The sequence below is a fragment of the Homo sapiens genome, chromosome 16 (genome assembly GCF_000001405.40).
Source record: "Homo sapiens chromosome 16, GRCh38.p14 Primary Assembly".
Lineage (NCBI taxonomy): Eukaryota > Metazoa > Chordata > Mammalia > Primates > Hominidae > Homo > Homo sapiens.
In genome coordinates this window covers 46,572,727-46,587,036 of record NC_000016.10, presented here as the reverse complement: position 1 = coordinate 46,587,036, position 14,310 = coordinate 46,572,727, and the positions used below count along the sequence as shown (strand labels likewise).

General features: G+C 40.5%; 1 protein-coding gene and 1 pseudogene across 5 annotated transcripts in view, besides 1 other annotated feature; one reads left to right on the top strand and one right to left on the bottom strand.

Moving 5' to 3' along the window:
* The window catches only part of SHCBP1 (SHC binding and spindle associated 1), a 42,789-nt gene extending 34,343 nt beyond the window's left edge, over window positions 1–8,446 (top strand). For 3 of the 5 annotated variants that reach the window (NM_001324318.2, NM_001324319.2, NM_024745.5), the window contains 3 exons: window positions 2,948–3,034; window positions 3,380–3,521; window positions 4,983–8,446. In NM_001324318.2, the coding sequence (NP_001311247.1) occupies window positions 2,948–3,034; window positions 3,380–3,521; window positions 4,983–5,308 (555 nt within the window). In that variant the 3' untranslated portion in view covers window positions 5,309–8,446. Of the gene's footprint in view, window positions 1–231; window positions 309–2,947; window positions 3,036–3,379; window positions 3,522–4,982 lie in introns of those variants that run through there. The other 2 variants (NR_136738.2, XM_047434653.1) reach the window with 2 other exon arrangements.
* LOC100421259 (zinc finger and BTB domain containing 14 pseudogene) lies at window positions 11,943–13,373 on the bottom strand (annotated as a pseudogene).
* Window positions 13,158–13,808: an enhancer, noted in NCBI's record as "H3K27ac-H3K4me1 hESC enhancer chr16:46607141-46607791 (GRCh37/hg19 assembly coordinates)". NCBI's record gives its function as "activates a minimal SCP1, AML or CMV promoter by ChIP-STARR-seq in naive H9 embryonic stem cells {active_cell/tissue: H9 hESC(naive)}" and the evidence as "EXISTENCE:reporter gene assay evidence [ECO:0000049][PMID:30033119]".

Below are 14,310 nucleotides of genomic sequence, written 5' to 3'. Positions count from 1 at the left end.
TATCTTTGCTTACTGTGTTCTTTTTTTTTCTTTTTGATGTTCCAGGATCTTCTCTTTTATCATTTCTTTTTTGTTTAGATAACTTCCTTTAGTCATTCTATGAAGATACGTCTGCTGGTGACAAATTTTCCTATTTTTCCTTCTTCTTAGAATATCTTGATTTCCTCCTCATTCCTGAAGAATATTTTCACTGGTTATAGGATTCTGGGTTGACAATTTTTTTTCTTTTAGCCCTTGAACAATACTGTGTGTCTTTCATCTGACGTCCATGGTTTCTGATGCTGTCAATCACATTTTCTCTCCTATAGGTAAGGCATAAAATTTTAATTGATGCTTTCAAGATTTTTGTTTTAAGCTTACACTAGTTTAATTATGATGTATGTTGGCGTGGATTTCTTTGAGTTTATCCTGTTTGGTGTCTGCTCAGCTTCTTGAACCTGTAGGCTTATTATCCAAATCCTGCCAAATTTGGGAGCTTTTAGTCACTATTTCTTGAAGTATGTTTTTAGCCTCACCCTCTTTCTTTCCAGGACTCTGATGACATGAATATTGGATCTTTTGTTATATTCCAGCAGACCCCTGGAGCTCTGTTTACTTTTCTTTTTCACTGTTTTCTCTGCTATTGGGTAAATTTTACTGTTCTGTCTTCCAGTTCACTGATTCTTTCCTCTGTTGTTTTCATTCTGCTGTTGAGCACATCCATTGAGCTTTCTATTTCAGTTATTGTATTTTTCAATTCTAAAATTTCCATTTGGTTCTTTATATCATCTACTTCTTTGCTGAGACTTCATTTTTCATTGGTTTTATGTGTGTTCATAATTGCTTATTGAAGCATTTTTATCATGGCTGCTTTAAAATCACTGTCAGTTAATTCTATCATCTCTGACATCTTGGTTTTGGCATCTGTTAATTGTCTTATTCATTTTGACATTTTCCTGATTCTTGGTATGACAAGGGATTTTCAAATGAAAGTTGGATATTTTTATATTATGTTGTGAGAATCTGGATCTTCTGTTTTAACTTGGCTTCTCTGATACTACTACAAGAAGGGACAGGGTTGGCGGTAGATGGGTATCATCTTGTTACTGGTGGAGGTAGAAGTCATGGTTCCCACTTGGCGTTCATTGATACCCAAGTTGGGTGGGGGAGCTCCTTCTTACTGCTATGTAGGGGTGGGAGGTCTAGCTTCCTACATGGTCTCCACTGGCACTGTGATATATGGGAGTGGTCTTGTTACCAGTGGGCAATGGTGAAAGTCTGGAATCTCCACTAGGCCTGCTCTGACACTGCCCCAGTAGGGAGGGAGTGGTTGTCTTGGCACTGCCAGGTGGGGGTACAAGTCCAGGCTCCTCATATAGTTTTCACTGACACTGCTGCAGGGAGGGCCTTGCAACTGTGGTTGGTGGGGATGAAAGTCCTGGCTCTGTGGTGTTTACCTGGAATAGAGCTATTATTATCTAAAAGTTTTCCTCTTTCTAGGTTGCCTAGTCCTTTCGTTAGAGCAGCTTTTTTTTGGGTGTATGTCTGTTGGTGTACTGGATTGCTGGCTTCTTCAGCTCCAAGTCTAGGGATTATGAAGCAAAAAGAAAGGAACTTACCACTGTGTTGGTGTTGTTTCTTGGGTCCTGAGGTCCCTAGCTGGTCTGCCTTCTTCTCTCCATTTTTCAGTCTTATGCTTGTTTTATATATAATGCCCATGGTTTTTGGTCGTACCTAGCAGGAGGAATAGGGACATCTACTCCATCATCCCAGAAGTGGCAGGCTCCTCAGTTACTTTTTAATTGCCAAATTATCTGTTCCTTTTCATAACATATTTTGAATATGACTTTCACTTGCTACATGACTGCTGGTTTAAATTGTTCTCCTTTACAAATTTTATGTGATTCCTGACAGTTTGATATTTAATTTTAACCATCTTGCTATAGATATTTTTAAACATAGTCGCCCCAAAATCTTTTTTTGCACATAACCCCAAACTGAAAATCTCTTAGAAGACACAATTAGCACATTTTTAAAATCCTCTCTACAAAAGAGTTAGATTGGTGTATACATATGGTTCAGGCATATGTACAGGGTTAAGTAATAATAAATGTTTTCTCATGGAATACTACTGCTACTAGAAAATTAACTGAACATACATGCATTAGATGTGTCATCAATGGTTACAGCAACTCTTCTTCATCGATGCTGTTGTGCATTAAATTATTCCCAAATGGTTGCTGAAATAACTATAGAGGTTTGAGTGAATCATTTTTGTTTTCCAGAGTGCCTTGCATAGCATTAGGAAAGAAATTCTTACTATTTTTATGTTTTTTGGTGCCATAAGGTATGAGAGAATAGTGTCATGTTTGATCTTTCTGGTTACTCTGTTTGAATGACACTTGAACTGGCTGCTGATGTTAACGTGTGTGGTAGGGAAAGCCATTGTTGGACTCATAGAAATGATTTTTAAGTTGGGTTGGGGTATTTTAAAACTGACACGTTTTGGAAAATGTGGGGTCTTGTTTCTATCCTCAAATTACAATATTTTACTAAATTCAAATACTTATCTCCAACTAATTGAGTATCTGAGAGAATGGTCATTTTGAATAAGTGTGTCTTTCAACAAAATTGTTAAATGACTTTTTTTTTTTCTTGGCAGAATCAGAAAACATTTATCTAGAATGAAAGAGAGTAGAGCAAGAATCAAGTGTTGGCACTCTTAGCGTGTGTGTGTGTGTGTGTGTGTGTGTGTGTGGTTTTGAAAATGATAAATTGTCAACAACTTGCTAGAAATGGAACAAATGGAAATGTTGATTAAAAATGGCTGGTAAAACTTATCTGTAAAGTACTTTATCTTTGTGCTGTACATTTGTACTGTGTTAAAGGCTAAGAAGTAATTGTAATAAACTCTTATAGTCTTGCCTTTTAAAAACTGATTGTCATTATCTCAAACTGTGACTCACAGGGTGCTGGTATAGAAATCTACCCTGGGAGTCAGTGCACCCTGAGTGACAATGGGATCCATCACTGCAAGGAAGGGATCCTCATTAAGGTGAGCATCAGCCAAAACACCCACTTTTCAATGGATAGAATGGTTTTACCTACAAATTATGCTTTATTAAATTGTTGGGTTCTATTTTCTGGTTTTGAAAAGCATAAACAGTGTACACATTTTGATAATATCAGTGATTGGAATCTCTTGTGAGAATGCTGTTACCTATAGATCTGCAGAAATGACAGAGGAAAGCTGTGTCACTAAGGGTGCAGACTGTGCTACAACATGGGACTAAACATAGCTTTTTCCTTTTATTTTTAGAATAGTGTGAATAAAGAAGATTTTTAAGGCAGGAAATGTTGAATATGACAGTTCCTAAAACATTTGTTTTCAATGTCACAGGACTTCTTAGATGAACATTATGACATTCCCAAGATATCCATGGTGAATAATATAATACATAATAATGAAGGTTATGGTGTTGTCTTGGTGAAACCTACAATCTTCTCTGACCTGCAAGAAAATGCTGAAGATGGAACTGAAGGTATATTTAGTAATTTTTAATATAAAAACCAGACATAATTTATTTCAGCATTAAATGCTGATTAAGGATCTGAGTCTTCCTCTCTTCCTTAAAAAAGGTTGTTGGGATATGCTTGGGCATGGAGAGAGAGAAGCTTGGTAACATTAAGTCATAACATTACAGACTGTGAAAGAAACTTTCAAGGTCAACTAGTTCAACTGTCATTCAAAATCTTGATGTTGTGGTTTCTGTGCAGTTCCCTTCTTATCATGGTTAGCTTTCAATGAGGGTGGATGTGTGATAGCAACGATGGGTGTGTGATAGCAATGGTGGGTGTGTGATGCTATGGTGGGTGTGTGACAGCAACAGTGGGTGTGTGACAGCAATGGTGGCTCCTACTGGCGTTTGTTAAGGCTGGAGACAGTGAAATGAATGTGCCAGGCTGAAGGCTGCATTTCCTGGAGGGGATAGTGGAGTTTACCTCTGTTTTTATTGGTAGAAGTAAATGCCTTCCTGTCACCTGCCTTTCTTGGCAGCGAAGGGGAGCTAACTCAGTGGAAATCTGTGAACTTCAAGCTATGATGTAGACCACTATTAAGTCTCAGTCATAGAGAAGGATTAAGCTTTGATGTAGGTGAGGAAAGTTTAAAGCAGTTTATTTATTTAATCAGCTTTTTCAGGTTGAAAGAGTTTAAAGGGTAGTCCTTGTCATCCTTCAGGATCTGCTCCAGTTACATCTCTGCAAGTTCTTTATTTCTTCACAGGTCTCACAAAAGTAAAATAAAGGTGTCAGCTGGGCAGGACTCATCTGAAAGCTCTGGGGGCAGACTCTGTCTCCAAACGCATTCATATCATTCATGGGCAGAATTCATTCCTTTAGCTCATGGGTCTGAAGTCTCCATTTTCTTGCTGGCTGCTGGCTGTTTGCTGGGGCTGGCACTCAGCTCCTAGAGGCTGCTCTCAGGTTCTTGCCTCATGGCCCCCCCATCTCAGCAACAGAGAACATCCCTCAAGGCAAATCTCTCATGCTCTGAATTTCTCTGACTTCCTCTTTAGCAACCAGCTGGAGAAAACTGATTAGCAATCTTAATTACATTGTAAAATTACAGTGCAAAATTCTTCTGCCATTTAATAGGCATGAAAGTAATACCAGGGGGTGGGGATCATGGGGCCTATCTAGAATTAGCTGCTAGATTGGGACTTCATTTAGAAAAGTGGCACTATCTTATCAATCTGTGCATCCTATCTCCTAACGCAGTGCTTAGCAGATAGTAACTATCCAGGAAATGTCTGTTGAGTAAAAGTGATTCTGGGATGAAAAGGGTAAAGGAAGAGTTCAAAATTGGTGATCCTGTGTGAGGGTCAGGGAACCTTGGTATAGAAAGCAAGGCAGCTGCTTGTTGAGAAGACTGTGTAGAAATATATGTTTTTGTTGGGTTAGCTTGTATATTTAACTTTGTTATTATTTGTTTGTTTCTCCAGAAAATAAAGCGCTTAAAATTCAGACAAGTGGAGAGCCAGATGTGGCTGAAAGAGTGGATCTAGAAGAGCTGATTGAGTGTGCAACTGGTAAAATGGAGCTTTGTGCAAGAACTGACCCTTCTGAGCAAGTCGAGGGAAATTGTGAAATTGTAAATGAACTAATTGCTGCCTCCACACAGAAAGGCCAGATAAAGAAGAAAAGGTTGAGTGAACTGGGGATCACGCAAGCTGATGACAACTTAATGTCACAGGAGATGTTTGTTGGGATTGTGGGGAACCAGTTCAAGTGGAATGGGAAAGGTAGTTTTGGCACATTTCTTTTCTGACTACAGTGATGTAAGTAGATAGCAAAATACTGGATTTTGCACATGCTGCCCTAAGAATCACTGCTGCCATTGTAGTTTGCTGTATTGTCTGTATTTTATATTTGATTATTTGGGCTTGAGTGAAAGGTAGATTTATTTCCATTTGCAGGTGTTGCACATAAAACACTCCCTCTTTATAAGAAAAATCATAAATGCATATAAAATAGAAAATATTTGGAGATTGCTTATCTGAAAGTCTTGCTTTCTTATACACATGGTTCTCTCATATTAAGCCTGGTAGTAACTTTTTAGTGTAATTACCTTTAGCACTTCAAAGACGAGGAAGTAAGGAAGGGAATGCAAGACTAGTGCATAAAAATGCAATAGGTGTCATATGTACAGCATTCTTCTTAGAGTTGCCTTTTCATCCCAATTACAGTGAGTCTGATTTCCATCCTGTATTTGCATAATACTTGTCTTAAAATAAAAGCTTTTATGATTGGGAATTTATCTGCCTAATCAGACTTATTATTGAGACGTCAATGGGACGCATTTTTCTGTTGAGCTATGCAGTCGTCAAAACAGCGATAGACAGCATAGGAGGTTTGAAGCAGAAATGAAATGTGTTATTCAGAGCCAATGTTGTACATAGAGCATTTTCACTATTGCTGAATGGGAATGATTAAAAACAAGGTATTTTTCGGGCCAGGCGGTGGCTCACGCTTGTAATCGCAGCACTTTGGGAGGCTGAGGCAGGAGGATCACTTGAGCCCAGGAGTTCAAGACTAGCCTAGGCAACATAGTGAGACCCTGTCTCTACTAAAAATAAATTTAAAAAAAATTAGCTGAGTGTGGTGGTGCATGCATGTAGTTCCAGCTACTCAGGAGGCTGAGGCTAGAGGATCCTTGAGCCCAGGAGGTTGAGGCTGCAGTGAGGTGTGATTGCGCCACTGCATTCCAGCTTGGGCGACAGAGCGAGACCCAGTCTCAAAAAAAAAAAAAAGTATTTTTCTCTTACCGTTACAGTATTCTGATTATATTACTGACACAGTCAAAATGATTAACTGTACAACCTGTATCTGCTGGGTGTTCTTGTTATCATATTGTAAAACAGCTTTAAAAATATTTATATTTTAAAAACTGTATGTGACATTAATATGCCTAATGATTAAAATTATAGTGATGAAATAACAAAATTGAATCTTGTTATATCTTTTCAAACTCACTGTGGGCCATAGTGTCAGTGTAGCATATGTGGTCATTTAAGAATACATGGTATTTTGGTATCTGTTTTCATGCTTTAGAAAGAGTATTACATTTTTTCCCATTAAGTGTGGTTATGTTTGTTTTTTAAATTTGAGTAAAAAATAATTCTTATTTTTTGGATGCTACTAAATGTAGGATTTATGTTAGATTTATTATTTGATCATTGAAAGGTATTTTTACTTTTAAAAAATCTTGTTGCAAGGAGGTTTAAAAAGTAATGTTCATTTCTGCATCAGTTTCAGCCAAATGTTGATATTAAAACCTTTTATTCTTTTTTTTAATTTTTGCCTCTAGATGTGATGCCTTAAGATAAAAACCATTTATTCAACTTAAAAAAAAATCACTTTTTTTTTTTTTTTGAGATGGAGTCTTGCTCTGTCACCCAGGCTGGAGTGCAGTGGCACTATCTCGGCTTACTGTAACCTCCACCTCCTGAATTCAAGCAATTCTCCTGCCTCAGTCGCCTGAGTAGCTGGGATTATAGGTGCCCGCCACCATGCCCAGCTAATTTTTTTTTTGTATTTATTTTATTTTTATTTTATTTTGTTTTGTTTTTGAGATGGAGCTTCACTTTGTCACCCAGGCTGGAGTGCAGTGGCATGATCTCGGCTCATTGCAACCTCAGTCTCCTGGGTTCAAGTGATTCTCATGCCTCAGCCTCCCAAGTAGCTGGTATGACAGCCACCATGCCTGGCTAATTTTTGTATTTTTAGTAGAGACAGGGTTTAACCATGTTGGCCAGGCTGGTCTCAAACTCCTGACCTCAAGTGATCCACCCACCTTGGCCTCCCAAAGTGCTGGGATTACAGGCATGAGCCACGTGCCTGGCCTTTTTTTTGTATTTTTAGTAGATATGGGGTTTCACCATGTTGCCCAGGCTGTTCTCAAACTCCTGACCTCAAGTGATCCACCCACCTCAGCCTCCCAAATCACATTGATTTTTCAATTGAATTTCTACTTTATCTTGGTTTAGATTTTGTAGATAAGTTAGTAACATTTATACCTTCCTTGTTTCTTTTTATAACATGGAGTTTTTCAGATTTCATGTCTATTTTAGCTTAAATCTAAGCTTATATTAATTTTTATTCACATGATTCATTATAATGAGTAGGCCTACTTTGTTCTTATTTAAGTTATATGCAGTACATTTTGCCTCAATCATGGAGAGTTAAACATCTCAAATGGTATAGCATAGGGAATTTAGGGAGTGCCCTAGAGGGGTATGGGTTTGATATTTGAGATGAAAACACTGATGTGGAGAAAGGATAGCCTTCTGTGTTGACTAATTGTGTGTCCTGTCCTTATGGTCCACTCTTAGTGTGACCTTGAATTTATGGCAGGTAGCAAAATTCTATTTTGCTGATTTGAGTATTTTATTTTAGCTTCTTTAGATGTATTTCCCTTCTTCAGTTTCTTGTTGTATTATTGCACCATAGATATTAACACGAATATATTTTTAAAAACTGCCCAGAGATCATTTGATCTCAAGTGTATATACACTTCACTTTTCTGGAGTTACAGAAGGATGGTGAAATAATCATTTTCTGGATTTTGCTTTTCAGAGGGAGATTGAAGAAAGTTCAATAGAACACTGATGAGCTCATAAGAACCGTGTCGTTCATGTTTCTTTGTAATTCAGTTTGCTGTTTTTATTCTTATTCCTTTCTAGGAAGTACATTCCACAGGCTTCTATGGAAATTAAGTTGAAATAAATTTTGATAATTGGCCTTTGATGCAAAATTTATGCATAGCATTTAATTTTATAACATTTTGTTTTATTCTGTGATTAAATATATATATGTATATGTTTTAAAGTCTTATATGTGGTGAACATTCTCCTCTTTTTTTAGTTCTCACTATTAATAGAAAAAAATATATATTTTAAAAACAAAACAGGTGTAATATATCAATGCTCTGAGAATTGCTATTGCTATTTTCCCTTAATATATTGCAGAAAAATATGTCTGTACATACAAATCCACCTTATTCTTTTGATAGTTGTGTTATAGCCCATTGCTGGAATTCTTTCAGTTGTAAGTGATAGAAACTCAACTGAGAAAGGCTGTATGAGAGTTGGTTCTTGGAACTAAACATCTAAGGATGAGAGCTTGATTACATTTCTTACTTTTATAAGGTTTCTTGACAGTATGAGTTCTGTTTTCTTTCTTTTCCCCTTCCCCTTCCCCTTCCCCTTCCCCTCCATCTCCTTCCCCTTCCCCTCCATCTCCTTCCCCTTCCCCTTCCCCTTCCCCTCCATCTCCTTCCCCTTCCCTTTCCCTTTCCCTTTCCCTCTCCCTTTTCCTTTCCCTTCCCTTCCCTCTCTGTCACCCAGGGTGGAATGCAATGGCGTGATCTTGGCTCACTGCAACTGCCGCCTCCCATGCCTTAATGGAAGTTGTAAGCTGCTTCTTAAAAATTTATTTTAGGCTGGATGCCTGTAATCCCAGCACTCTGGGAGGCTGAGGTGGGAAGATCGCTTGGGACTAGGAGTTTGAGACCAGCCAGGGCAACATAGCAAGACCTCATCTCTAAAAAATTTTAAAAATTAGGAAGGCATGGTGGCATGCATCTGTGGTTCCAGCTACTCAGGAGGTAGAAGTAGGAGGATTGCTAGAACCCAGGAGTTACAGGCTGCAGTGAGCTATGATTGCACCACTGCACTCCAGCCTGGGTGACAGAGTGAGGCCCTGTCTCTTAAAAAAAAAAATCACAGGCCAGGCACAGTGGCTCATGCCTATAATCCCAGCACTTTGGGAGGCCGAGGCAGGTGGATCACCTAAGGTCAGGAGGTCGAGACCAGCCTGGCCAACATGGTGAAACCCTGTCTCTACTAAAAATACAAAAATTAGCCAGGCATGGTGGCAGGCGCCTGTAATCCCAGCTAGTAGGGAGGCTGTGGCAGGAGAATCACTTGAACCCAGGAGGTGGAGGTTGCAGTGAGCCAAGATAGCACCATTGAACTCCAGCCTGGGTGACAAGAGCAAAACTCCATCTCAAAAAAAAAAAATCACAAATAACTATAATGTATTATGTTTCCCATGAAAACAATGCAAAGATTTAATTAGTTCTTAACTGCTTGCTAAATTGTTCCAATTTTATTCCAAATGGGTTTTAAAAAGCTACACACCAAGTTTATTCACACTGTTTCAGTGAGAAAGTTGCCAGTCCACCTGGCCTGAAAGTAGTAAAAGCTGAACTCCACAAGTGTACAGGCTTCTTAGTGAGGGAGGATTTTTATTTCCACCCACCCTTGACATCACCCAAACAAATAGGCCTGAGTGCAGAAAACTCTTAATTTTGGATGTAAGCAAATGGAACCAGAAATGTCTGAGATTCTGGGATGTGAATGTGTTCAGCTGAAAGGGTTGATGTCCTGGATCCATTCCACCCAGACTCCCCTTTATCTAAGTATTCTCAAATGTGTCCACAGTCAAACATCAACCATTTTAGTCAAATTTCAACAAAAATGAGCTAGAGAAACTCTTAGAAATTTGACCTGCTTACCAATTGGCTACTAATATAGAGTCCCCCACTTCCTTTGGAAATGCTTCCAATCTGGAAGATTCAAGACCAGCTTTTAGCCAAGATAGAGTAATAGGTCGTAGGTTTACCCCCATGCCTTACCTAGAAGACTGGACAAGATATATCTGAGACAGTGGTTTTCCAGATGTCATGTAACAGGCAACACAGAACAGTAATACCTAAGAAGAAAAACTGAAAAAGTAAGTTCTACAATTACACCAGCTTAGTGCTTAAGGGCAGATTCCAGGCCTCACTACAGGGAGGGGAAATGAAGCCTGGTTAATTCACTAAGTCAGGGAGACAGAGTCAGAGCTTAGAGGCCAAGGCAGCCAGAATTTGCAAGGCAGATCACTGGAAGGGAGGGAGATGCACAGACAGCACCAGAAACCTACAGAGGGTCCCCTGTGGTATCACTTGAGTACCAATATGCATGTGTCTAGCTTGTAGATGGCCGTCTTTTTCCATGTGCCTTCACATGGTCTCTACTCTGTGCCTGTTTGTGTCCTCATCTCTTATAAGGATGCCAGTCACATTGGATTAGGGCCTACCCATAAGACCTCATTTTACTTTTAATATACAGGACCTGTCTCGAAATACAGTCATATTTTAAGGCACATGGGTTAAGACTTCAGCATAACTTCAATCTATGAATTTTGTGAGAGACATAATTAGCCCGTAACACCTTCTTAATGTGGACAGTTATTGGAAGCCAGATGAAATTTATGAAAAATTTGTACTGAAAATATTTCAAAAGTAACATTTTAATAATTTTCAGGTCTATATAGTTAACCTTGAGCTACCTACTTTAAGATGTTGCTAAATAGGGCATGCTTTATTAAATAGATATTTTATTTGTGATTACTGCATTGTTTACTTTTTACACACTTAACAGATTTTAAATCAAATCGATAAGCATATTGCATCTCCTTTATGGGTAAATCATGTGCCCCAGAGACCCCAAAATCTTGATGACATTCTGTGAAGTTATACAAATATATCTAAAGAAACATATCTGTTCTTGTTCTGATTTCAATTCTAAATAAAAATCCAATTTCAAAATCAATTAAGAATGATTTTAATCTAGGAAACCTTGGAATTGTTACACATGTAAAGCCTTGTCTCTGAGAGCCTTTTCTCCTCACCACTGCACCACTCCACAAATCTTAGCTGGTATGGCATAGCATTGCCCCCAGTCATAGGAACCTGAGAGCTCAGCCCCAAGATCACCACCATCATGGGTTTGCTCAGCCTTCGGTGCGTGTGACTTCAGCTTCTGGGGTAGGTACAGGGCAACCAAAATGGATGAAGAAACACTTCAGCAAAAAAACCATGATTTGTCCACAAAACAGTGAAAAAGCGTCACGTAAAATTAACAAACCAAACAAATCTAACACCATTCTGCATCTCTAGAACTTGGTTTGATATTTGCACAATGTTCTTGGTCACCCACGAATATTTTCTGCATCTATCTGAAGAACTTAATTATTAAGTTACTAAACCTGCTCTTTTGACCATAAATCACAGAATTGTGATGATTAGAAAATTCATTTAGTACTCTGTGCAGGGCACTTGCCAGTGTGGCGAGTGTAGTGCAATTAAAGATGGGATAGAAGTCTCTGGCATCTGAACTGGACACAGGAGTTCTCAAAATCACGACAGGGCAGTGAAACGGCATGGTCAGAACTGAGGAACATCATTTCCTTGGAAAGTCTTACAAATATCTAAGCACTGCCTGAAGTCAACTGAGTACCTTGCTCCATACACTTCCACAGAAATGGGTAACTGGCACCCATTCATTATAATCCATGTCATCTCTGTCTCTACTTCCCAGGCAGTGTCCCTGTCCCTCACCCCTAGCTTCAGGCTGTGTTTCCAGCTGCTGCTCTGCTTCCGCCATCAATGCCACCTGCAGCAGCTGGGTCCCCTGCTGGATGGCACTGTGGGTAACCTGCATCCTTTCACTGTGCACATGGTTCTCATGCCTTTACGGAGCAGACTCCTTGGCAAATAAATGCCTCAGTGCAGGAGCCACACGCAAGGCATTTCCCTTCTGTGTCCTCTTTCGTGATCTTGAGGTGGGACTTGGGTTTGAAGGCTTTGTCACTCACCTGGCATGCAAACTCTTTTGTTATTGTGAACTCTCTGACAGTGCTTTAAGTCTGGGGCACGAATAAATAATTTTCCACACAGCTCACAACTGTAGGGCTTACATCCAGTGTGTGTGCGTTATGTCTGTGTGTGTATCCTTATTTTTTTGAGACGGAGTCTCCCTCTGTCACCCAGGCTGGAGTGCAGTGGCGCGATCTCGGCTCACTGCAACCTCCGCCTCCTGGGTTCAAACGATTCTCCTGCCTCAGCCTCCCGAGTAGCTGGGATTACAGGCACCCACCACCACGCCTGGCTAATTTTTGTATTTTTAGTAGAGATGGGGTTTCTCCATGTTGGTCAGGCTGGTCTCGATTTCCTGACCTTGTGATCCGCCTGCCTCGGCCTCCCAAAGTGCTGTGATTATAGGTGTGACACACCACACCCGGTCCTGTGTATGTTTTGAGACGGAGTCTCACTCTGTCACCCAAGCTGAAGTGCAGTGGCAGGATCTCTTCTCACTGCAACCTCCACCTCCTGGGCTCAAGTGATTCTCCTGCCTCAGCCTCCCAAGTAGCTGGTATTTCAGACTTGCACCATGATGCCTGGCTACTTTTTATATTTTTAGTAGAGACGGAGTTTCACCAGCCTGGTCTCGAACTCCTGACCTCAAGTGATCCACCCACCTTGGCCTCCCAAAGTACTGGGATTACAGACATGAGCCATCACGCCCGGCCCCTAAGTGGATTTTTAGGCATTCTTTCAGGTGGGCCTCTGTGGTGAAACCTTTTGTGCACATTTCACAAACGGCTTCTCCGCTGTGTGGCATTTCTCAGCTTTCTCCACTGCCTTCACAGGAAACTTCTTCCCGCACTCCTGGCCGACGTCGCTCCCTAGGTGACTGTGCGGCAAAAGCTCAGACCTCAGGACACTGGTGGCTGTTGTCCAGCCTAGTGTCTGCTTACCCCGCACTCATCCCGTAGTCACACGTGAAGGCTTGAGGGGTCTGGAACTTCCTGGCCGTAGCAATGGACTTTCTGAACTTTCTTGCTCTTTCAGAATTGCGTTTTGACCCTGAGTGTGGTCGTGGGTGACTCGCCGGCCTCCCGCCCCGGGGTGTGGTGCCTTTGTTCTGAGTCATCACAAGTGCCATCATCCTGATCCTAGCTTCTTTCAGATCACCCTCTCGAGGCTCAGCAGCGTCTCCGCCAGGGAATGTGGGGCCCTCACCCTCATTTCCCTGGTTCCTGGAGGTGGGGGCATGCCCGAGGCCGTTTGCCTCCTTCCCTAGACAGAAGCTCCCCGCCCCGGATACAGGCACGGAAGGGCCACGTTTCCTTCTGTAATCAGGCCTCGGGCGCAGGCTGGAGCGGCTCTGAGAACAGGGGGGACCCAGCCCTGCCGACTCCCCCAGGCCCGCTAGCACTCGGCCCTCCCCACTGTTTATATTTAAGATGATGAGAAAATAAATCCGTCAAGTAGGTTAACCACTTCCTACCGCATGGAGTCTGCCTTTATTTTCTTTGTATTGCAAAATAATTTATACATCATAAAATTTAATCTTTAAAGTGTACAGTTCAGTGGTTTTTAATATATTCTCAAAGTCGTACCACTATCAGCATGATCTAACCCCAGAACATGTCCCTCACCCGCAAAAGAAATCTGTGTCCCTTGCGGTTACTCTCTCTCCATCCCTTCTTCTTCCGGCTCTGGCAATGGCTAATCTACTTTCTGCATCTTTGGATTTGCCTCTTCTGGACATGTCATAGAAATGTAATCATACAATATATGGTCTTTTACTTCTTGTTTGATCTCTTAGCATAATATTTTCAAGGCTCATTCAAGTTGCAGCATGCAACAGTGCTTCATGGCTTTTTATATTTGAATATTGCGTTGTATGCATGGACCACTTTGTTTATCCATTCATCTGTTGATGGACATTTGGATTATTTTCCCTTTTTGGCTATTGTGAATGCAGCTGTTATGGTAATTATCATATGTTAATTCCGTTTCACTTTTTGAGGAACTAGGCCTCCCAGTCCCAAAATTATATGCAGTGATTTAGTCTGATTTGGTTTTTTTGTTTATATATGACCACAACTTAGAAAAATGTTCACCAATTAAAAGAGGTGTAGGCAACAGTTTCTAAT